At 51.2% G+C, this 25,459-nt stretch overlaps 1 protein-coding gene across 23 annotated transcripts in view, besides 2 other annotated features; it reads right to left on the reverse strand.

Moving 5' to 3' along the window:
- SHANK2 (SH3 and multiple ankyrin repeat domains 2) overlaps positions 1-25,459 on the reverse strand; it is a 785,381-nt gene that overhangs the window by 297,705 nt on the left and 462,217 nt on the right. The gene's annotated exons all lie outside the window — the stretch shown is intronic.
- Positions 2,766-3,267: an enhancer, noted in NCBI's record as "H3K4me1 hESC enhancer chr11:70614429-70614930 (GRCh37/hg19 assembly coordinates)". NCBI's record gives its function as "activates a minimal SCP1, AML or CMV promoter by ChIP-STARR-seq in naive H9 embryonic stem cells {active_cell/tissue: H9 hESC(naive)}" and the evidence as "EXISTENCE:reporter gene assay evidence [ECO:0000049][PMID:30033119]".
- Positions 22,627-23,826: an enhancer, noted in NCBI's record as "P300/CBP strongly-dependent group 1 enhancer chr11:70634290-70635489 (GRCh37/hg19 assembly coordinates)". NCBI's record gives its function as "activates an origin of replication core promoter dependent on BRD2, BRD4, P300/CBP, MED14 and CDK7 cofactors, with strong dependence on P300/CBP, by STARR-seq in HCT116 cells {active_cell/tissue: HCT116}" and the evidence as "EXISTENCE:reporter gene assay evidence [ECO:0000049][PMID:35650434]".

Raw genomic sequence — 25,459 nt, forward strand, 5'->3', positions numbered from 1 at the left:
TTTCTGTTTGGTTTCAGCCAGGATAGGCTTGTTTTCTGTCATCTGTAACTAAGTGTCCTTAATAACATGGCAGGGTATAGCCTCAGCAAAGAGATCCAGGAGCTCCCAAGAAGCAAGAACTCCCATGAGGCTCTGAAATCCCCTGCGAGAGACCCAGGGTGGCTGGTGTAACATTAAGTGGGCACAAATGCATCTGGGGCAAGTCCCTCCCCAGCTCAGGCTTCAGTTTCCCCATACATGAAATAAGTTTTGTTTTCTCACTTAAAGCTTCCCAACACTTTTCTTGAATGACATTTTGTACCTTATATCCTGAACTGCTCTGAAATTGGGAGGAAGTAGAGGACATCTGTACGGGGTGAGCACCTTGGAAACGGGAAGAAAGCCATTACCTAGGAGGTACTGTGACAGAGGTGGCCAGCTGCCTACTCTAACATCAGTTCTCAACTTACTCATCCATAGCAGGTTATCTGGAATAAAGCCAACAGCTCAGCCTCCTTTGAGATGATGTTATGGCTGATCATCCATAATTGGAAGCAGAGTGGACAATGTGCATGTCCTTAAAAGAGGGAATGTTTTCTTGAACCTTTCGCTCTTCCTCTATTGGAACGCAGATACAATGGCTGGAGTCTAAGCAGCCACCTTGAACTGCGAGGCAGCCTATTAAGGATGTTGGAGCAGCAAGAAAGGCAGAGGCCAGGTCCCTGTATGTTTGAAGCCCTCATATCAGCTCTGGACTGCTGCCCTCTGTCTTCTTTAATATGACAGAGAAATATGCCTCTGTGTCATGTAAGCCATGTTCTTTAGTTGTTTTTCTGTCACATGTGGCTGATGGGACTCTGAATAACAGCACGTCTTGGATAATCTGGCTGGGAGGAAGGAGAAGTCAGAGGGGAGGAAGGGGTCTCTTCTTTCAAGATATGGATATTTGGATTTTTGTGTTAATTTGAAAGCATCTTATTTGATGCTTTCGAATTACAGAACATTTCCCTCAAACACCTCCAGGCCCTGGTTTAAGTCACTAAAATAGTTTCCACTCCTAAGCAACCGCATCAGGGGTTTAATCAAACAATAGAGCAGTGTACGTGGATATCAATGCCCCTCAGAACAGACGGGGCCGGAATGCTCCTTGCCGCTCTAACAGGTAGGCAGGGATTGCTCCTCGCTTGTTAAAATGTACCTGTCGATTTTCCTCTTGTTTCATAACAACTCCATTTTGTCACTCTAATTTTAGTGGCAATGTTTTTGTTCCAATCAGCGATCATTTTGGAAAAGTAGGCTGCTGGAAGAGCTCTTGGCATACAAAATGACAAGCAATTTTTAAACGGCATAAGACGGGTGATTTTTAACCACACGGAATTCTAAATCTGTTTTGAGCTGGTTAGCGCTCCTTAGAAAATAACTAGCTGTCCGGGAGATGTGATGTCCACTCTGCTAGCTCTGGTGTGGCAGGCCTACTGTGTGCCAGGCACGGACACGGGGAGGCATCAGACAGGGTCCCTGCCCCAAGGAGTTGCAGAGTGGGGACACAGATGAGAGAAGTGAAAATGGACATGGGCGCTGGGCTTTTGAACTGAAGGCTGGCTGTAGAGATGATGTTAGGCCAAGCAGCTGGGAGAGCCTCACCTCTGCCTTCCAGCCCAGGGTCCTGCCCAGCCCCAGGAGAGGGCCAGGCAGCAGCCAGACTGACCTCATTCTCTGGGCTCAAGATCCCAGAATGTAAGAAAGTTTGGCGGTTTTTCGAAAAGTTAAACACAGAGTTACCATATGACCCACCAATTCCATTCCCAGGTAGGCACACCCAAAAGAAAAAGAAGGAAAAACAGGTAAGCATATCCTTACATATGGACGTTCACAGCCGCACCACTCACAGATGCAGCCCGAAGGGTGGGAGCAACCCAAGTGTCCCTCAACAGATGAGCACATAACGAACATGGTCCATACACAAAAGGAAGCACTACTCAGCCTTGAAAAGGAGCGACGTACCACCACAACGCCACAATGTGGACGAGCCTTGAGAACATGGCACTGAGTGAAGGATGCCAGTCACAAAGGCCATGCTGGAGGATTTCATTGATAGGAAATGCACAGGAAAGGGAATCTGCAGTGATGAGAAGTAGATTAGTGGCTGCCAGGGGTGGGGGGGGCATGAGGAGTGACTGCTAATGAATATAGGGTTTCTTTTTGGGGTGATGGAAATGTCCTCAAATTAAAAAGTGACAATTCACAACTCCAGGAGTATCTAAATGCCACAGGATTTTGTACTTTAAAATGGTTAATGTCAATTTCGCCTGAATCAAAACACAAAAACCTTCCAGAATGGTCTGCTGGGGCTCAGATATGCCAGTGCTCCCTTTCCCTCTGCTTCTTGCACTCAGATTACCACCAGGGGTCCTCTGGGTCTCCCCTGCCTGACTCTGCAGGGATCCGTGCAGAAAGGCGGGGCAGGGTGCTAGAAACAACACCCAGATCCCCTTTAGATCCAAGCTGGCCACTTTCTAGCTGGGGTGGGGGGGCTGAGGATGTTGCTGAATTTCTTGGAGCCTGTTTCCTTCTCTGTAAAGTGGCGACAGCTGCACATCCTGGGGCCAGGAGTGGCATCAAAGAGAAGGTGCAGCATGCAGTGTAGATGTGAGTTCCCTCCCTGCCTGTCTACTGGGGCAGAGGCCATGTCTGATGGACAGGGTAGTTCTGCCAGTGGCGATTTACTGAGCAGGCCTCTGCACCAGACAGTGAAGTAGTGATGGAGGAAGTCGTGGACAGGGAGGATAAAGTCCCCAGCATCACCTGAGAGATAGGCAAGAATAGAGCTCCCCAAATCAGCCAAGTAATTCTGGCCACAAGAGTGTCACCACACCAAGAAAAGGATGAGGTGAGGAATGTGACCCGGAGGCAGTTCAGGGAAGGCCCTTGGAGTGGCGGCACAGTGGGGAGGTGGCCTGGCCCTGTGGGGAAGCTTGTTGGCAGCAGAGAGAGCTGGGTGCCTGCAGGAGTGAGGGCCGGAAGGAGGGGCCATCTCTAACCACTTTGGCATCTCAGGAGTCTGTGGGGCACACACCACAGCCTGCACCCCTGAGTTATTTATCTTGCAAAGGAAGGGAGTAGCCATTTGCAGGAGGTTTTCCAGGCAGGTTTCCCTCATCAGGAGAAACAAGGCTGGGGGAAGCCTCAGGCCATGGGGAGCCTGGAGATGGAGGGAGGAGGCGGGCAGTGGTGGCTGCAGGGGTGTGAGGGTGAGGCCAAGGACTTGGCTGCTGAGGCCTTGGCTCTGGCTCCTGGCTTCCAAGGTTCTCACCCTGCACATGGGAAGAGGGGCCAGGTGGGCACCAGTGGCAGTGTCAGGTCCAGAGACCCACTCCAGGGGGGTGGGGAAGGCAGGTGTCTCCAGCTTTCCCCAAAGGTGTCTGCACAGGTGGCCGAAGCTTCCCAGGCTTTGGTCTCACATCCGCATCTTGGGTCTGCCTTGTCGGGGTCTGTCCACGCTAGGCCACCACTCTTCCCCAGGTGTAATTCGCTGAGAGGCTTTATTCCCTGGAACGCAGGGCCTGGCATCCTACTTGTTCTAGTAAGAGGTTGGCGGGGTGAATGAATGGGTGGGTGGGTGGTTGAGTGAATGACTCGCCTGAGAAGTTCCAGTTCCGGTCTCCTTCAGCGGAGCGAGTGCAGCCCATCATCAGGGCCCGTGCTCCTGGCAGTAAGTAGGGCAGCCCTGCTTCACGCGGTGGCCCCAGGGACGGTGCCCACTGCCCTCCTTTGCTCGCAGACATGTCCTCGTTTGGATGATAAATGATGCGGTCACCCTGGCACATAGACTCCTTCTAGGAGGATCCAGGAGAAATGCCAGGAGCTTCAGGAACAACAAATAGGTCAGGTCGCCACTGGGGTTTTCTATCTGTGCCAGAGCTCAAGGACAGAGCATGTCCCTGAACAACGCTGGAGCTGCAGGGTGACCTGAGCTTGTGCTCAACAGACGTGATGCATACCTGGTGCACACGGCAGGGGGTGGGGCAGGGGGGCTCTCTGAGCCTTCTGCGAGAGCACATGAAATGGCATGTGCGTGCATGCACATGTACACATGTGTAAATGTGAGGGTGTACGTGTGCTGAGCACAAGTGAAGCATGTGCAGCATGTGTGTAGTATGTGCATAAGCACACATGTGCGTGTGTTCTATGTGGGCATGTGTAGGCATGTGTGTATGTTCTATGTGGGCATGTGCAGGCATGTGTGTCTGTGTGCAGGCATGCACGTATGTGCACATTTGCACGTGTGTAGGTGTGTGTGTATGGGTATCTTTCATCTGCTACTCAATGAGGTCTGTGGTTGCATGTGTTTGTGAGAGAGGCACCAGCCAGCACACCCTGGGTCCTGCAGGTGCTGGAGGCTGAAGGGGGTGGGCATCCATCATCTTCCTCCGCCATCTCCTACCCTATCCCTGGGCCATGGAGGAAGGCCTTACGTAACCTTGTGTTGAGCATGTACCTTCCCAGTGGCCCACGGACAGTGTGACCTGGGCCCTCTGGCTCCCTCTGATTCTGGTCGCAAAGCAGCTGAGGGGAAGATGAATACCCTTCTCAGCTGAGTATGTGGGTCAGATAAAGCTCTGGTCTAGGGGAGAAAGTTCTAGTCTCTGCTGCCGCCCACTTGATGTGTGACTTGGAGCTCGGCTGTGTCTCCTGCTCTTTGCCTCTGGTGTCCTCCTGGGAATCAGCACCACCAGACCAGCCTGGTCTCTGATAGTAGGAATCTTGTATACACAGCAGACTTGGGAAGGCCCCTGAGGGTGACTGGGGTCATGGCCATGGGCCTGTGGTCCTCATGCCTCTGCTCATCCGCCTGGGTGGGAACTTTCTGTGCCCAGCACTGTAGAGACCAGCTGTCCAGCTGTGTTAACACTGAGGCCCCCAGCTGGCCTGAAAATGCCCACCTGGACAGAAGCCACTGTGCCTGGAGCGGCCAATGAGCCGGGGTCACCATGTGATGGCTGGGAAGTTACTTAGGCCCAGGGGCCTTCTCTCTAAAACGGGTCCTCAGATGCAATTCTGGCCCTGTTTATCCAATGGACGGCTCTGGGAAAGGGCTTGGGCACCTTGAGAAGTTGTAACCGTTTACAAATAAAAAGCTCCACAGTGATGATGAAAGTGACACCCATTTCGGTTCTCTGAGAATCAACTGGAGCATGGGCCTCCTCTCTCCGAGGAAAAGTAACCTTTCCCCCAGGTTCCTGCTCTGGGATCAGTCCCTCTCCGACACACAGAGTGCTCCAGAAGTTAACAGGCACAGTTAATCTGTGCACAGATCTGCAGGACCCTGGTAGTCAATAAGAGATCCCTCCTTCTCTCCTTCCCTCCCTCTTACTTCCTTTTTTTTTTTTTTTTTTTTTTTTTTTTTGACAGGGTCTCACTCTGTCACCCAGGTTGGAATGCAGTGGTGCAATCTTGGTTCACTGCAACCTCCGCCTCCCAGGCTCAAGCGATACACCCACCTCAGCCTCCTGAGTAGCTGGGACCACAGGCATGTGCCATCACACCTGGCTAATTTTTTTGTATTTTTGGTAGAGATGAGTTTTCATCATGTTGCCCAGGCTGGTCTTGAACTCCTGAGCTCAGGTGATCTACCCTTCTCAGCCTCTGAAAGTGCTGGGATTACAGGCATGACCCACGGCCTTCGGCCCAGAGACAGTTTCTATAAAAGACGGCTTCTTGCCATCTCAGCACACCATCGCGAAGGAGTGACGGGCTCTTTCAGAGACATGGAGGGCCAGGCACCTTGTGACCACATGCACAAGTGACCAGCACACAGAAGTGGTGGGGGCAGCTGGGTCCCTGGGCGCCTGACCCAGGTGGGGCCCATCCCAGGGCAGTGGCATCTGGATGGAGATGCCCAGTGGCAGCTCATCTTCCTGCATGAGGACTGCAGTGCTGGAACCTTCTGAGCACATTCTCAGGGTTAAAAAGGTGAAGGGAGCAGCTGGGCTGGGTGGAGTGGGTGGGTATCCATCGGGTCGGACGATGGCTCCAGGGGATCTGGCAGTTTTTGGCAGTTACTTCACAGGACAGAGGCTCTCACCCAAGCCACCTGGAGGAGGGGCGTGGAGCCGCGCTGGGGGCCCAGCGAGCTTCTGCCTCCACCGGGAGGGGTGACTCTAAGCTCATTCCAGGAGCAGCTGGGCTGCCGGCCAGCCTGCCCCACTGTGGCCACACACGGCCACTGATGGATTTAGGATTTGGAGGTTCATAAATAATGAACACTTCCTGGAGCCAAATCCCCGTTCCCAGTTGAGCTGCCAGGACTCCAGAATCTGCCCCTGGTCTGTGCCATCAAGGTGAGGAAGCCAGGAAATCGCTACTGGGCCTGGGGGTTTTCACCACAAGGTGTCTTTGTTTAAAGGCAGCAAAGCTCTGAGGTCTAAAAGGTGAAGGTCTCTAAGGATGAGGACGGCTCAAGTCAGTGGAACCCACTGTGTAAGCTGTGAGACCCCGGGCAAAATGACAAAGAGCCCCTTGTTTAAAATGATTCAGAGTCTCCGGGTGCTGACAGCAGAACATTACACAAGCATGGGGCCCGTGTAACAGTGGGTACAAGCCCCCCTAGTTTGAGAAGTGTATTGGTGTGGTGCCTCACGCCTGAAATCCTAGCACTTTGGGAGGCTGAGGCAGGTGGATCACTTGAGGTCAGGAGTTTGAGACCAGCCTGGCCAACATGGTGAAATCCCATCTCCAAGAAAAATACAAAAATTAGCTGGGGGTGGTGGCGCGCGCCTGTAATCCTAGCTACTCGGGAGGCTGAGGCAGGAGAATCGCTTGAACCCAGGAGGCAGAGGTTGCAGTGAGCCAAGATCACACCACTGCACTCCAGCCTGGGCAATAGAGCAAGACTCTGTCTCAAAAAAAAAAAAAAAAGTATATTATTCCATGCCTCTGAAAGAGTGAAGGACAGGCCATCCTCACATATGCCTGATTATACTGACTATATCATGTTGAAACATTGGAGAAACTATAGTTTCAGAAAGGGTGAGCTGACCTGTCGCTTCCTACATGCAGCCAGTGATAGAGATGCCTCTGGAAGGGGTCCCCTCTCTGCACCAGGGCAAGAAAATGGCCCTTGTCACCAGAGGCTGGGCACTGGAGGCTGCAGTGGGCCTGAGTAAACATACATAATGGAGTAGCCCTCATCTTCCACTGCTTTACACCACCTGTATATGTCCTAGGGACTCCACTAGAAAATTTACTGTCCTAGCCAGATTTTCTTTGCCCTGTCGTTTCTTTTCAAATTTATCATTCTTTGTCAAAAAGTACAAAAGCGTCTTGCTTGGGTCACTTCTCTGCATTTCGCTCTCTTGCAGAAGATCCCCATGTATATGTAAAACCAATACAATTGGTATGCTATTCTTATTAATCTGCCTGCTGTCAATCTGGTTTCCAGATCCAGCTGAAGAGCCCACTAAGAGCTAAATGGCAGTTGGAGGTGACCTCTGGCTCCTCTAATCCCCCAGTCTCCGCCCATCCCCAGGGCTGTGGGCAGGTCTTATCTTTACTGAGCTGCCAAGAGCTGAACCAGAGAGAGGCCTTCTAGAACTTGTAGGAGGAGCTGGGGGTGAGGCAACCACACTACTGGCCTGGATGCCAGTGCACCGCTCAAGAACAGCTACAAGGTGATGTCTTGCTGTGCAAAGTAGCTGGGCGAGCGGCTCACAGGGCAGCGTCCTAAAGACAAGAGCAAAGCTTTGAGATGATGAGGCCGTTCCTGAAGCGTTATTCACAAGAGGGAAACATGCGAACAACTGCAGTATCATAAGTCAGAAGTGGGGGGAACAGGCGACAAATGTCACACATCTGTGACAACTGGAAGAGCCATTAGCAATGGTGCTTTGGAAGGATCTTTTCAATTCATGACATCTCTTTTCACTTGGAAAAATGCAGATTCATAATCATAGAGAATGAGCTTAATGTTGCTGAATATACATTTATGCTCAAAGGACTACAGCCTCAGTGGTGACTATGAACGTGGGATAGACTCAGGAGTGATTTTAATTTTCTTCCTTATACCTTTCTTTATTTTCCAAATTTGCTACAGGACTAGATATTACTTGTATAATAAAGTATTAGTTTAATAAGTGACCTTCTCTCCAAAGAAGATGCACAAATAACCAATAAACACATGAAAAGATGCTTCACATCATTAGTTATTAGGGGAATGCAAATCAAAACCACAATGATATATAGGTCTAATACCCACTAAGATGCCTATAACGATAACAACAAACCAGATAATAGGTGTTGGCGAAGATGATGGGGAAAACTGGAACCCTTCCTACACTGTTGTCGGGAATGTAAAATGAAGCCACTGTGGAACACAGTCTAGCAGTGCCTCAAAAGGTTAAACCTACAGTTCCCTTGTGACCTAGCAATTCCGCTCCTAGATATATACCCAAGAGAAGTGGAAACAGGTGTTCCAACAAACCATGCACACAAATGTTCACAGCAGCCAAAAACTGGAAACAACCAAAGTGTCCATCTTCTAATAGAAACAAAGTATGGTATAACCATACAATGAAATACAACTCAGCCATAAGAAGCAGTGAGATTCTGATACATGCTATGGCATGGGAGAATCTCAAAAACACTGTCCTAACTAAAAGAAGCTGGTCATAAAGGACCCCACATGGATGATCCCATTACATGAAATGGACAGAACAGGCAAATCTAGATTGAGAAAGTGGAGTCATGGTTGCCAGGGCTCCGGTAAAGGGGAAATCGGGGAGTGACTTTTGTTTTTTTTTTTGAGATGGAGTCTTACTCTGTTGCCCAGCCTGGAGTGCAGTGGTGCCATCTCGGCTTACTGCAACTTCCACCTCCCAGGTTCAAGCAATTCTCCTGCCTCCACCTCCTGAGTAGCTGGGACTACAGGTGCATACCACCATACCCAGCTAATTTTTGTATTTTTAGTAGAGACAAAGTTTCATCATGTTAGCCAGGCTGGTCTCGAACTCCTGACCTCAGGTGATCCGCCCGCCTTGGCCTCCCAAAGGGATTACAGGAGTGAGCCACCGTGCCTGGTTGGGAGTGAATTCTAATGGGTACAAAATTTCTTTTGGGGTGATGCAAATGCTCTGAGATTAGAGAGTGGTGATGTTTGCACAATCTCGTGAATATGCAAAAAGCCACTTAATGGTGCACTTTAAAACAGTAAATTTTATGGCATTGAAATTATATATCAATTTAAGAAAAGAAAAAAAGGTTGGTGTCCTGTGTGAATTCCTTCGGATCACAGAATAATATAAAACTAAACAGGCGAGGGTTAACCGTCAAAATTTGATTTTAGGCCAGGTGTGGTGGCTCACACCTGTCACCTCAGCACTTTGCAAGGACGAGGTAGGAGGACTGCTTGAGGCCAAGAGTGTAAGACCAGCCTGGGCAAGACAGTGAGACTGTCTCTAAAAAATAAACATTGCTTTTAGGCTGGGTGTGGTGATGCACACCTATAATCCAACACTTTGGGAGGCTGAAGCGAAAGGATCACTTGAGTCCAGGAGTTTAAGGCTGCAGTGAGCTATGATTGCACCACCGCACTCCAGTCTGGGCGACAAAGGCAATCCTGTCTCTTAAAAAGAGAAAAAATTGGCTGGGTGTGGTGGCTCAGGCCTCTAATCCCAGCATTTTGAGAGGCCGAGGCAGGCGGATCACAAGGTCAGGAGTTCAAGACCAGCCTTGGCAACATGGTGAAACCCCGTCTCTACTAAAAACATAAAAATTAGCTGGGGGCATTGGCACGTGTTTGTAATCCCAGCTACTCGGGAGGGTGAGGCAGGAGAATCGCTTGAACCTGGGAGGCGGAGGTTGCAGTGAGCCAAGATGGTGCCATTGTACTCCAGCCTGGGTGACAGAATGAGACTCTGTCTCAAATGAATGAGAAAAAATTATTTTGCAGACTGCTTTGATTCAATTAACCACTTTGAGGTATCTGGAGGTTGCGTCTGCTGAAGGTGAGTGTTGACTCTAGACCCACATTTGCAGATGGTGCCCAATCCACCACTCGCGGCCATGTCCTCTTGGCTTCCTGTTCCAGGTCTCCTAGAAACACGGGTTCCTCCCTGGACCCGGTGCTCCTAAGCCACACAACCTGGCTGTGGACAGGGGGCTACAGAGTGTCATCCAAGATGCTCTCCTTGGTTACATGATTTGTTTGAGCAGGAGCCTGCCCTTTACACATCCACTCTACATATGCCTGTCTTAAATTTAATCTGCAAATGTGGAGGTTTCATCGTTACCAGCACGCGGCCCCCATAAGCCAATGTTTATTCATAATCCCCGAATCTGTTTCCCATCGTCTATTTCAGAGGAGCCAAAAACAACATCTTCATTCAATAACAGAGCACCATATGACAGCTTTCATTTCCCAGAATGAGCCATGGCATGCTCTGGAGGTTGCAGCGGGGGCAGGGGTGGCCTTTGGCCTCCATCTTTGCCCCAGCTAGAAGGGGGCTCCCAGCCCTGGCTGACCAGACCCAGACTTGGTGTCCCAGTGCCAAGCAAGAGAACGCAGGTCTGTCCTCACTAGGTTCCCATCTGACAGATGGCACATCAGTGTTTCCACTGCATGTACTGGGAGCAGCCCATTCCTTCCACCTTTTCAGGGCATGACAACATCAGACTTCTGGAACACCCAAGAATCCAAGACACTGATGGCATGAGTGAGTGGGGGCAGGTCACCCACCCCTCCCATGTGGATGTCCAAGCCCCAACCCCATTCCTCTGGCTCCACAGGGGTAGGGCTGAGGCCTGCAAACTGGACTTGGGGGATAGGACAGGCATGCAAAGTCTAAGGCCACAGTGCATCTGGGTTGGCTGAAGGTAACTGATACCTTAACACTCTCTAGGGGCCAAAGACTCGAAGACAACCTGGCCTGGGATGCCAGTGATGTTGCTGGTATCGCCAAGAGCCTCATGCACGCCTCACTGCCTTCCCTGTTGCTCACAAACTCTATGGTTTTAAAGACATCTCATTGGGTAATGTAAAGGTTTACAATAGGAAGGGATGCACAACTTGAATTGTGGTGAGCTGTGTATGAAAGGTAGAGTGAGTATCTATAAACATCCCCAAGCAAAGCCCATCCATCCATCTACCTAGTCACCCATCCTCCCACCTACCCACCTAACTGGGTGGGTCTTACTAGATTCCCACCTACTCACCTATTTATCCATCTACTCACCCACTCAGCCACCCATCCATTCACCCATCCATCTATCCTCCCACCTGTCCATCCCTTAACCACTCATCCATCCATACATTCATCCATGCATCAATCCACACATCCACCCACCCATCCATCCACCCACCCACTCACCCATCCTCCCATCTACCCACCTAACTATTCATTTAGACATCCATCCACCCATTGAGATACCTACTAACCCATTTATCCATCTACTCAGCCACCCTTCTGTCCTCCAACCTACCCACCTACCCATCCATTCATCTACCCACCCACCCACTCATGCATCCATCCATCCATTCACCCACTCATTCACTCACCCATCCTCCCCCACCTACATATGCATTTACACATCTGCCCATCCATCCACCCACTCATCCATTTATCCATCCACTCACTCACTCATCCACCCATCCATTTACCCATCCACCTACCCATCCATTCACCCATCCATCTATCCTCCCAGCTACCCATCCATTCATCCACTTATCCATCCATCCATCCACTCACCCAGTCATCCATCCACTCACCCACCCATGCATCTATCTATCCATTCATCCATCCTTCTACCTACCCATCCATTTATCTGTCCATCCATACACCCATCCACCCACCCATGTATTCATCTACCCATCCACCCACTCACCCATTAATCCATCTAACCTCCCACTACTCTTCATCCTTCCAACCCTGCTAGCCCATTCATCCATCTGATCACCCACCCATCCATCCTCCCACCTACCTATCCATTCATCCATCCATCCATCCATCCATCCATCCATCAGAAGTACTTTCTCAGCCCCTACTCCATGCCAGGCACTGTGTGAGGTGCAGAGAATACTGATGTGAGTCAACTGTATCCTCCTGATTCTTGGCTCTCATGGAGGGTAGTAAACCTTGATCAATTGACCCCACAAACAGGCGTTTACAAATTAATTAACCTCCAGGTCCTTGCCTTCAGTCCTCTTGGCTTGCACCATTTGCACTTATTAAATCTGCTCCAACACGAGGTTCCTGATCCCAGCTCATCAAACACATCACTGGGAAAGCTGCTTAAAAATACAGATTCCCAGGTCCCACCCCAGACATTCAGGTTTCATGAGGTGGAGATAGAGCCCTGGCATCCACATTACTTTTCTATAGTCCAGGTTGAGGGCCATACCCTAACACATGGCTGTCCAGACACACACAACCCATGTTTCCTGGGTATCTGCAGCTGAGGAAGGAGAATAATGACAGGAGAGCTAGCTTGCTCCTGGTGCTTTCCAGTTTGAATTCATTCCCCTCTCATAGCAGCCCTGTGGCAAACACATTACTGTCAATGCCAACAGAGGCTCAGAGAAGCTGAGTAACTTGCCCAAGGTCACACAGGAGACATAAATCAGGAGTCATGGACTCTGATGTTTGCCTTTTCAATGGAAAAGAATCCAGGTCAAACCCCCAGAACAGCCCTGAGACTGACCTAAAGAGGCTTCTAAATGCTGATGGGCCAGGGTACACCCTTGTCAAGTAGCAGTCTCTGCCTTCGGCTCACACAACAAAATGGCCCCACAGAGGATGGGATTGTGTGGTAAGAAAGGGTGAAACTGAGAAGTCATCCACAGAATGCAGCTTGGTTTACAGCTGTGACTCTTTGCCTCTGAAATAGACTAAATGTGTGTGTCCCCCTCAAAACTCCTATGCTGAAGCCATGACCCCCTCAGTGTGACTGGATTTGGAGAAAGGACTTTAGAGAGGTAATTAAGATTAAATGAAGGTACAAGGCAGGGCCTTGACCCAAGAGGACTGGCATTCTTAAGAGGAAGAGAGAGCAGAGGTGTGCATGCACAAGGAAAGGCCCTGTGAGGACACAGCGAGAAGGCGGCCATCTGCAAGCCAGGAAGAGAAGCTCACCAGGAACTTCCCCTGCCAGCCCCTGATCTGCAGCTTCTAGACTCCAGAATTGGGAGGAAATACATTTCTGTTGTTTAAGCTGCCCATTCTACAGTATTTCATGATAGCAGCCCAAACTGACTAATATAGACTCTTCCCTGCCTACTGCCCTCCACACTGGCAGCCCAGTGTAGCACTAAGAAGGTTTCTAACCCCGTGAATGTCCGGGCCATGTCACTGCCCTTCTCTCCTGAACCCTCTGCCCACAGTGGCCACTGTACAAGGTGACTTTTGCAGACACCACATCCTGTAGCGGCAGGAGGGGCTGTGGAGAAAAAAAGGACAGGGTTGGTACCCAGCATTACCAGGTTGCCATAGTAACCCAGAGCAGGCACCACCACTGCTGGGAGGGGACGAGGAAGGCCTGGGCCCCACAGCAAAGCCAGAGACTGGATCCTCCCAAAGGAACCTGAAATAACACACAGACCTGGCAGAACTCTATTTTGAGGGTGAACCCAAGCATGGAAGCTGGTCCTTAAAACACAGAGCGGCTGCTACGAAACAGCAGCACATACTTCACGGCAGCGAGGCTCTGAGTGTGTTTTAATAAAGTGGCATACGAGACAGAAAGGGTGGGGGATGCAGGAGTCTGCCACGGTTGTTTAACAAAAACATAATCATTAGCAGACAGGACAATGCGTCCTCATAGCTATTTTATGTTCTGTGAGGGAACAGCTAGTAACTTCTTTGGAAGCTGGCTTTTGTGGCTTATTAATATTTTAGATTACAATTGTGCTAATAGAGTCATTTGCCTGTATTTTTAAATGCTCTAAAGATAACAAAGACATTCTATTTTGGAAGAACCAAACATGGGTATGCTGATGTTTTGCCGAGGGTTTATACACACTGTGACTAACGACACTTCTGTTTAATAGGACTGTACCATGCCCTGTTCCATGGCTCCAACCAGAGCCGCCCAGAGATGTGGGTGACAGCTCCCACCCCTTTCACATCCTTGGGAGGGCATTCCTACTCCCTGAGAAAGCAGGTCACAGCAATATCCTCCTCTGATCTTCAAGGAGCTGAGGCGCTTGGCGTCCCTGCTGAAGGCATATCTCTAACTATGGCCTGCAGAGGTCCTGCCTGCCACCCCCTCCTTCTGCTGGTTCCAGCACCCCAACTGTCCTTGGCAAGCCATCTTCCCTACACCCCTGACCCAGACCCGGCCAGTCACCCTTGCTGGTGCCCCCACCCCCTAGCCAGAGTGACTGGTTCTGGGTGGGCATGGACATCATTCAGGTCGGTCCCATCAGGACTCTCGCTAAGAAGCTAGCACAGAGCCATTTTCTTTCTGCAGGACTTGGACCTATAAGGACATAAGCCCTGGAGCTGCCAGGCACCATCCTGAGAGGGAGCTGCTCAAAGAATAAAGCCCCCATGGAGAAATCAGGCCAAGAGATGGAATGAGAGCTCCCTGGGGATACCATTTGAGCAGCTGGATCCAACTATGCCTGATGCCAGACAATTTTAGGCTTCTCCATTGTGTACACTAATAAATTCCTTTCGTAGGGACAGGGGTTGGAGGGAGCCCTGGGGTTTTGTTGCCTCCAATTTAAAAAGCAATAATGACCAGAGAAGCCCTTGAGTTGGTACAGGGGAAGGGAGAGGCCCTGGGTCAGAGTTTAACCCCAGGGCTCCAGGCCAGCTCTGCCATGAGCCAGGCATTCGATCCCCAGTAACCAGAAGCCCAGATTTCCTTCTCTGAAAAATAGAGGCCTGGCTCTAAATGAGTTTTTCCAAATTGGAGTCCAGAAACTCCAAGTCATCTGAGGGGCATCTCATGTCTGTTTATTTGGTGCCAACATGTAGATGATAACCTAAATACATGACCCTATACTTATCTTTAAAGACAAAACTGTTTTTCCCTGGTAATGCATTTTTTTTTTTTTTTCAGATAGAGTCTTGCTCTGTCACCCAGGCTGGAGTGCAATGGCACAGTCTCGGCTCACTGCAACCTCTACCTCTGGGTTCAAGCGATTCTCCTGCCTCAGCCTCCCGAGTAGCTGGGATTACAGACGCCTGCCACCATATCTGGCTAATTTTTTGTACTTTTAGTAGAGACGGGGATTCACCATGTTGGTCACGCTGGTCTCAAACTCCTGACCTCAGGTGATCTGCCTGCCTCGTCCTCCCAAAGTGCTGGGATTACAGGCCCTGGCTGTAATTCACATTTTCAAAGACAGAACTTCTGTTTCACAATAGTTTTTTTGTTTTGTGTTTTTGTTGTTGTTGTTTTAACGCAGGAGATTTCCCTCTTAACAGTGACCTACACGTTACTAAGTCAGAGAGATTTTGAACTAAGCAGTAACTATCATCCCTTCCGGTTCTCACCTTCTCTGGATGGTGTTTGTGTCGGTTCTCTGTTTATGAGCCCAAGGAGTGAGGGGTTCCATTCGTCAGCTGACCCACATGCAAATCCTCAGGCTGAAACTCATAGGGCTGTGAGACCCCGGACCGGTTGCCGTGAGACCCCGGACCGGTTGCATGTAAGGAGCTCACATCCTTACATGCAAAATAGGAACGACAATACTGAACACACAGTTCACGATTGTTCTGGAGATTGGAGGAAAACCATGAGAAACGTCCGGTTTGAAGCCAGCTGCCCAACAGGCACTGGCTGGTGTTGGAATCGGGGTCAGGATTATTGTCAGGACCCTCAGAGCCCCATGGTACCCACTGCCTGGTGCAAACCTCTGAAGCTCCCCCAACCCAGGCATCTCTGAGAGCCTTAAGTTAAGGAGCCTGTCTGGGAAAGGGACCATTGCTTGGTCATCCTCAAAGCTGCAGGGCAGAGTTTTCCAAACACAGTCATTCCTACACATTTATTTCTAAAAGCAGCTTGCAATTTACTTACTTATTATATATATATATATATATATATATTTACTTATTTATTTATTATACTTTAAGCTCTAGGGTACATGTGCACAACGTGCAGGTTTGTTACATATGCATACATGTGCCATGTTGGTGTGCTGCACCCATTAACTCGTCATTTACATTAGGTATATCTCCTAATGCTATCCTTCTCCCCTCCCCCCACCCCACAACAGGCCCCAGTGTGATGTTCCAAAGGAATATAAATCATGCTACTGTAAAGACACATGCACACGTATGTTTATTGTGGCACTACCCACAATAGCAAAGACTTGGAACCAACCCAAATGTCCAACAATGATAGACTGGGTTAAGAAAATGTGGCACATGTACACCATGGAATACTATGCAGCCATAAAAAATGATGAGCTCATGTCCTTTGTAGGGACATGGATGAAGCTGGAAACCCTCATTCTCAGCAAACTATCGCAAGGACAAAAAACCAAACACCGCATGTTCTCACTCATAGGTGGGAATTGAACAATGAGAATACTTATTTATTTATTTAGAGACAGTCCGCTCTGTTGCCCAGGCTGGAGTGCAGTGGTGTGATCTCGGCTCACTGCAACCTCTGCCTCCTGGGTTCAAGTGATTCTCCTGCCTCAGCCTCCTGAGTAGCTGGGATTACAGGTGCCCGCTACCAAGCCTGGCTAATTTTTAATAGAGACAAGATTTTGCCATGTTGGCCAGGCTGGTCTTAAATTCCTGACCCCAGGTGATCAGCTCGCCTTGGCCTCCCAAAGTGCTGGGATTACAGGCGTGAGCCACCGCGCCCAGCCTTAAAGCAGTTCTTTAAGTCACCATTTTAAGTGGAAAACCAGCCTCCCTGGCATAGATGGAAGGAAGCCTTCACATCCAACAAGGGGGAAAGCAGGCTATGGGGTCCCAGTCGAGCTGCCCTGCTGTCTGTGGGAGGCACTGGGCCAGGCCCGCCTTCTCCAAGTTATAAGGAGGACTACAGACCACAGAGCTGTGTGGAAGAGTCCCCAGCCCCCAGAAAAAAAAGGCAAACCACGCTGTGGGAGCAGTCATCCGCACACCTGCACCACTGACAAAGGTCTTGCTTCTGAAGTATACAAGGACTGACCACAAATCAATACGAAACAGACAAGCCTGAAGAAAAACAGGCAGAAGACCCAAACTGGCGCATGGCCAAAGACGACACACAAACAGCCACCCAATACATGCACAGAAAGGTGCTCGGCCTCAGAAGTAATAAGGGAACCGCAAATGGCAATCACAACCATATCATCATCGCACACGCAGCACGTCCGCAGCGGAAGGGCCCGTCAGTAGTGAGCTGGTGACACGTGGGCACCATTACTCTTACAGACTAAATGTCTGTGACCCCCTCTAGAATTCACGGACCCGCAATGTGATGGGGACTTTGGGGTGTGATTGGGTTTAGATAAGTCACGAAGCTGGGGTCCCCAAGATGGGATTCCTGCCGTCCTAAGAAGAGATAGCACAGTGCTCTTCTCTGTCTCTGTCTTTCTGCGGATGAGGACACAGAGAGACAGAGGCTGTCTGCAAGCCAGGAAGAGGGCCCTTCCCAGAAATGGCCATGCTCGCACCCTCATCTCTGACTGTCCAGCCTCCAGAACCAGCATTTTAGCCCTCCAGATCTCAGTGTTCTGTTACAGAAGCCTGGACTGACAATGAGGTCCAGGCAGGACAGGGTTGCAGAATTCAGAAAAGCAGAGGACGTGTCCAGCCTGACCACGGTCACCCCTGGGGTATGGGCGATGGAAGGGCACCCACGTTTACATCGAGACACAAGGGTAGGGACTCCCACAGCAAGCGGACTACGACTGCCCACGGCGGGACAGAGGGACAAATCCCCAGTGAACGACCTCACAGTGAAAACAAGTGACCCAGATCTACTCACATGGCCCAGATACCAGGGACAGCTGTTGGGAGAGAAGCCAGCACAGCACAGCACACGCCAATCCTGTCTCCATATGGCTCACGAGTGGGCAGAGTCCCACGACACTGTCTGGGGCTGTGTAATAAGAGCCTGGGACTAGTAATAAAATCAGGAAGCAACTGTGTGCGAGACCAGCCCTGGGCAGAGACAGTTATCCTGGGGAGGGAGCTGAGGAGGCAGAGGGGGCGTCTGGGTGGGGTTGGGGGTGCTGGGTCCACAGGGTTTGTTTTATAACTGCCCACTGGACGTGCGGTTGTTTTGTGAACCTCTCTGTATGCTTGTTACGCGCCACACAGAAAAATTAAAAATAAAAGCATCACACAGGCACCAAACAGGATCCTCCCATCTATTCGGAAGGCCCGGAAGAGGAAGGAGTGAAGGGGGACTGCTGGATTCTGGGTCTGACCTGCAAGGTCATCTCCCAGATGCCTGCCCTGGGCACCCACTGTGTGAGCCTTGGAGGTGACACAGACTCAGGGGGTGTGAGACACAGGGCAGGGGCCACTGGGGACAGGCTGGAAGTGGGAACAAGTGGCTGCCTGAAGGCCCCAAGGGTGTCTCCGGGGCAAAGCCGGGATGTTTCAGGTGCTGCAGGAAGAAGCCGGGCACCCTGTTCACCCAGCCAGGGTCTCACTTGGCACAAAGAGGCCTCGGGAGAATACACAGAAACCCCTGCTTTTTTTTTTTTTTGAGACAGAGTCTCGTTCTGTCACCCAGGCTGGAGTGCAGTGGCAGGATCTCAGCTCACTGCAACCTCCGCCTCCCAGGTTCAAGTGATTATTGTGCCTCGGCCCCCCAAGTAGCTGGGACTACAGGGCGTGCGCCACCACACCGGCTAGTTTTTTTTTTTTTTTTTTTTTTTTTTTTTTTTAAGTAGCGACGGGGTTTCACCATGTTGGTGCAGTGCAGTAGTGTGATCTCGGCCCACTGCAACCTCTGCCTCCTGGGTTCAGGCGATTCTCGTGCCTCAGCCTCTCGAGTAGCTAGGATTACAGGTGTCATGTTGGCCAGGCTGGTCTCGAACTCCTGACCTCTCAGGTGATCTGCCCACCTCAGCCTCCCAAAGTGCTGGGATTACAGGCGTGAGCAACTGTGCCTGGCCATAGAAACCCTGAGTTCTAATCCGCATTTGCCATTGACCAGCGAGGTGATGTCCCCAGGTGTTACTGTCCCCCTCTGTGGCATGGGCTGAGCTCTGTCTGCCTCCCTGGGAGCCTGTGGCTGAGGTCCAGGGAGATGCTGGGTGGGGAAGTCAGGACTCCTCTGGCTTCCCCATCTCGGTAAATGTCAGGGCCTCTGCCCAGAGTCCTTCAGCCCCGGGGCCAGGGCCCACGCTCCAACCGCCACTGCTAAGAGCCCTCCCGCTATTGGGGGCTGCTGTCCTGCCTCCCATCCATGGACACAGGAAGCCACAGGTGGTCCCCTGCAGGCTGAGCTGTCAGGGCCAGGGACACGAGGTGCCACTTTCAGCTTTTGGTCCCAGGTCCTGAGCACAAGTGGTGGCTTCCCAGGAGGGCCATCTGCAGTGGGTCTCTGGGTTTCCATGGGGTGTCCTGAGGCCTGTGTGCCTGCAGCTGCTAGGCCCGTAGGATGCCTCCGTCCAGCACAGACCTGATTTCTGGGTAGCCTGTGAGCCTCCGGGAGGACCCAGGCTATGGGCCCAATGGGCATGGCCAGGAGGGGACAGGAGACCTGCACACCACACAGGACAGACCCCTGGGGGCGCCTGGGCCCCCTCCTACCCTCGTCCACACACCATCTTACCCCCAGACTTGAGGAGGCATGAGGTTTGCTGCTAAAAGTGTTGGGGTGACCCGAGGGGGAGGGGCCCTCACTCATCAAAGCAGATCTCTGCTTTAAACCTGCATTGCTCCAGATGCCCCCCAAAGCTCTCCTGTCCAGGGTGGTGGCCCATCCCCTTACCTAACTCTCCTCTCTCCAAAAGTCTCCTCTCTCCTTTTTTTTGCCAGCTGGCCCTGCTCCCCACAACCCCGCCAAGCTCCATCACCCGCTCAGTGGAGCAGAGGCAGCCTGCCGGTTGCAGGGAGAGGAGTCTGTTCCCAGTGAATGCCACTACCTCTGTCTCTCCAGCACCCCCCAGGGGCTGGGCAGGGCCTGTCAGTGGGGTGAAGGGAGGTCTCTAGAGGGTGTTCCAGGTGGCCGGAGCTGCCGTTAGTCTCAGGCTTCCAGGTGGTGCTGGACCCTGCCACACCTTCCAGGGGCTCACATGTTCCAGGACAGGGGGTGCAGTGACAAAGCAAGAGAGGTAACAGCGGCCTTGGGCATCATCCCCCATCTCGGGCACCAGGCTGCCCAAACAAAAGCCGAGATTAATTTGCACCAGGTCGAGGGAGTGGACATGGGGATGCTCTGTCCGCTTCAGGGACTCTTTGGTTTCTAAGCAGGGGCTCAAAGAGGAGGGGTTCCACTATCAGCTGAGGGTGGTCGCCTGGGACCACTGATGGGCTGGTGTCCTACCTGCTATGCACAGATGGGCCCGGGACCAGACCTCTAGCAGTGTAGAGGTTCCCACACTGCAGCCCAAGTCTCCTCTCAGGGTAAGCGGGACCGTGCCAGAATTTCCAACAAACACCAGGAGTAACTTTCAAGTGGAAACACAGCTGGCACGGGCAGCACAGGGCTTATAAATGACGGGGCAATAAAGTGGAATTATGACCTTTGCACCTGTCCTTTGCTTCTGTGCCTTTCTCCTCTGCAGCCACCCTGGGCTGTCTCTGGCCTGGCCTCCTTTTACAATGGAGCTGGGGGTAGGACAGTCTATTAGACCAAGCCTCACAAAGCAGGGAAGCAGATGGGCAGGGGCTGGGTGGAGGTGAGGGCAGAGCAGGAGTGACAATGACCTGCTACTGTAGCCACAGTGCCCTGCATGGCCAGAGCCTTGGTGGTGCTGGTGTTCCCAGGTATTACTATCAGGAAGCCCATTCCATCAGTGCTGTTGGTAACAATTCTTGTATGCGTATGGACTTTTATACCTTTACATTCTTCTCTGTGAGCCACTGCAACAACCCTGCAGGGCGTGTCTATCTGCAGGGCATATAAATCCAACTTACAGATGAGAAAGCTGAGACATACAAGGGTAAAATAATTTTTCTCAAGGGCACCAAGTGTGGTGTTGATTTCTTTACATCAAGAGGGGATGTGAGGAAAGAAATGAAATTTCAAGAACTAGAAGGGGAAAGCCAGGAACCTCCTCCAAACAAAGGGAAGGCTGCACAGGGCTGGGATGAGGAAGAATATTTGTTCATGGCCAGAGCAGTAGCGTTCACCAAGGTGGAGTGCCAGACTTGACTAGCATCATCCCTTTATCATCTTAAAACCTCTGACACCATCACCACCAGCATCATTGCTAGTCACATCACTACCACCATCAATCACCATGACTATCACCATCAATAGAATCACTACCATCATCACCAACAAAAACAGCATCACCACTATCATCACCATGACCACCACCACCAGCATCACCACCAGCATCACCACGACCACCATCACCAGCATCACCATCATCACCAAGATCACCACCATGAGCATCACCATCAGCACCATGACCACCACCACCAGCATCACCACCATCATCACCATGACCACCACCAGCATCACCACCATCACCAAGATCACCACCACCAGCATCACCACCACCAGCATGACCACCACCAACACCAGCATCACCAACATCATCACCATGACCACCACCACTAGGATCACCACTATCATCGCCGTGACCACCACCACCAGCAGCATCACCACCATCATCACCATGACCACCACCACCAGCATCACCACCATCATCACCATGACCACCATGACCACCACCACCACCAGCATCACCACCAGCATCACCATGACCACCACCACTAGGATCACCACTATCATCACCGTGACCACCACCACCACCAGCATCACCACTGTCATCACCAAGACCACCACCACTAGGATCACCACTATCATCACCGTGACCACCACCACCAGCATCACCACCATCATCACCAAGACCACCACCACCAGCATCAACACCATCATCACCATGACCATCACCATGACCACCACCACCAGCATCACTACCATCATCGCCATGAGCACCACCACCAGCATCACCACGATCATCACCATGACCGCCACCAACACCACCACCACCATAAACAGCATCACCATGGCTGCCATCAACTACTTATCATCATTACCACCACCACCACCACCCCTGGTCCCTGACTCCAAGGCCACAAAATCTTAACATCTCAGAGGCTGGCTGACCCTGGGGATGCTCCAGCCTCCAGGTAAAGGAAACAGATGTCAGCTCAGATGTATCTATGTTTAGGTCCTGGGCCGGCCACCCCTGCTTCTGAGCAAGTCACTCACCATCTCTGACCTCGTGTCAAATGGACTAACATCACTGCATGCCCCCCTCCCAAGTTTACTCTGAGGATCACATGAGTTACCTATAAACATCAAATGAGAGGTGAGAGGATGCAACCACAGGGACAAGGTTTGGAACTGTGTGCTCTGAAAAGGCTGGAACGATAACGTTACATGGCCTGCAGGATGGCGGAACATGACTTACTCCAGTGCATACATGATATGGCTCCCGAGGGAGAGCAGGTGGATCCCAGAAGCTGACCTAGTGTTGAACTGGGAGGTGTGACAGCCAAGAGGACAGGTCCCCCACCAGGGCCATTGTGGATGAGGACTTTCCTCATTGTGTCGTCTTCTTATCAATGGCCACAGACAAGAAATCTCAAAGGACAGTGGCCCCAAGTCACTTGTGACTTCAGCAGCTTCCCTTTATCCATGGTTTCACTTTCTGAGGTTTTAATCACCCACGGTCAACTGAAGTCTGAAAATATTGAACAGAAAAGTCCAGAAATAAACAGTTGAAAAGTTTTCAATTGCATGCCATTCTGAGTAGCGTGATGTCGAGTGCCGTTCCGCCCGGGGGAAGTGACTCATCCCTTTGTCCAGCGCACTCCTGCTGTCCACACCACCCACTGGTTAGTCACTTAGGAGCTGGCTCTGATATCAGACCAAAAACATGGTGTATGCAGTACAGGGCAGTACAGGGTTCAGCGCTGTCCCCCATTTCAGGCACCCAATGGGGGTCTTGGGAGGTAGCCCCTGAAGATAACAGGGGACTGCTGCAGTCACAAAAGAGTTGGTAAAACCAAGAGGTCCCCATCCTTCTCCTGCCCAGCCCTGACCCCAGGGTTGGATTTGGGAGGAGGAGATTTAAACTCCAAGTGTGTCCTGAAACCCCGACGAGGCCACACAGGGTGTCCTATAGGAGACAGGAGGTGACGGCTCCAGGTGTGGCTTCAGATGATAGAGGAGCAACGCACTGCTCTCAGGTCGATTTCTGGGAGGAGGAAACACATGCCAGCCTCACCACCACCCTGTCGGGTCCACACGATCTGAAGGAGAGATCCGAGAATGTTATGCCCATTAGTCCTTGGGGTGTGGGGCTGGTGGCGGTCCGGAGACACTTCTCAGAGCAAATGGCAATGCTAAGCTGTAAGATGCTCCCAGTAAGGGCCCCCTACGCTGGTAAATTAGAGAGTGGCTGGAAAGGAGAGTCCACGGCAGGGATTCTGAATGGGAACAGTCCATGGGAAGAGAGCTTGGGAATCTGGACAGCCTGGCACACATGCTTCCCAGACATACACAACACGTGTTTCCTTATGAATAAGCGGGGATCATAAAGGCACCTCCCATTAAGGGCAATTACGAGGCTCAAATGAGGTCCTGTCTCTTCTCCATTGAGTGCCACAAAAAAGTAGAAAAGACACACTGCAAACCACATCTGTTTCCTGGTCAGAGCTCTGACTTTCTGATCTAGATCCTATGCTTATGGCTAGCTTCTAGAAACTTCTAGAGAGCCATGGGGCCTATTCTTAAATGCAGACTTACCCCACAAGAGTGGCCAGTCAAGGGAAGGCACGGCTAATCCCATCCTACACTCACACCTTCTACCCAGTCGAGACCCCTGCACCAGGGAGTCAGCCAGAAGATTCCGGAAGCCCATTCTGCAGAGAATCCCATCAAGTCACTTCCTCGGTGGTCTCTGCAGCTGATTGAGGATCCCGACTCCAACAGGCTCTGGTGGTGCATACGGCACAGGACATGCCAAAACTACACTGGGTAGGTGCTGCTCATCTGGGTAGGTGCCCAGGAGTGAAGTAGGAGTTGAGAATGTGGCATCTTATGCCCCAGTCTGAGCTGCCTGGCTGTGAGGCCCCCACTCCTACCTCAGTGGCTTTCAGGTGACCAGATCCTACCTGTCTCTGGAGGATGGAAACAGGGATGTACAGCGGTGACTCATCACACCCATTTTCTCATCATGTTCTACATGAATGGTGCTCACTGATAGTCAAGTCTTTTGTTTGTTTCAGCAACTAAAATACGATTTGCTCTGGTGCTGCTTGGCCTTGTCATTTTCTCAGGGATAAACAGAGAGCCCTGGCCTGACAGTTTCCATGTACACATAAGATGTGTCGCTGAAAACTGCACACACGTGCATTGCATTCATTTTTCATAAACTGCCTCATCCATGGGTGCCAACTGATTACTTCGGAAATATTTTATCTTTGTTTCTTAGTCAAGATACATCAACAGGGGCACCCCTGATTTCAATGTGTAGAATTCTGAGGAGGAAGGATCAAGTGATTCTACAATCCACCAGCCTGAATTCACAGATGAGGAAATTGATGTCTTGGAAGATGCGGAAGGCAGTCAAGTCCCCAGTAGGGGAGGTGGGCACTGTCTCTCCACCCAGGGTGCATGTCCACCCAGGGCACTGTCTCTCCACCCAGGGTGCATAAAGAGGGTCAGCTTTATGGGCCAACGGACCAGGCTATAGCACCCAGTTATGCAGCCAAGCACTAGCCTAGGTGTTGCTGGGAGGGTATTTTGTAGATGTGGTTAACATTTACAGTCTGTTGGCTTGAAGTCAACATTTTTCTCAGTAATGTGGGTGGGCCTCCTCCAATCATTTAAAAGGCCTCAAGAGCAAAATTGAGGTTTCTTTGAGGAAGAAGAGATTCTGCATCAAGTTTGCAGCACCAGCTCCTGTCTGGGCGTTCCAGGCTGCTGGACTGCCCAGAGGATTTTAGACTTGCCTGTTCCCATGATCGGGTGAGCCAAGTCCTTGAAATGAGTCTCTTAATACATACGCTCTATCTGTATCTACATCTGTGTCTACGTCCTACTGGTTCTGTTTCTCTGGAGAATCTTGACTCAAACAGTCACCAGGAGGTGGCTCCTGGCCCGGGACCACAGGTCCCAGCATCTGCAGCATCCAGGTTCCCTCCACAGGGTGTCACGGGCGATGATGTGTGTCCCTGATGTGCCAGAGCCTCACACAAGAGGGCAGCGTTTCTCCATTCTCTCTCCCCGTCTCTGCAGGCTGGGGGCAGGGGACCCTAAGGTCCTCGAGGATGACCAGGCCACAGAATGGAAGGGCCTGGACTGCTTGGTCACATCATGGAGAAAATCAGCCCGT

This window comes from Homo sapiens, chromosome 11 (genome assembly GCF_000001405.40).
Source record: "Homo sapiens chromosome 11, GRCh38.p14 Primary Assembly".
NCBI lineage: Eukaryota > Metazoa > Chordata > Mammalia > Primates > Hominidae > Homo > Homo sapiens.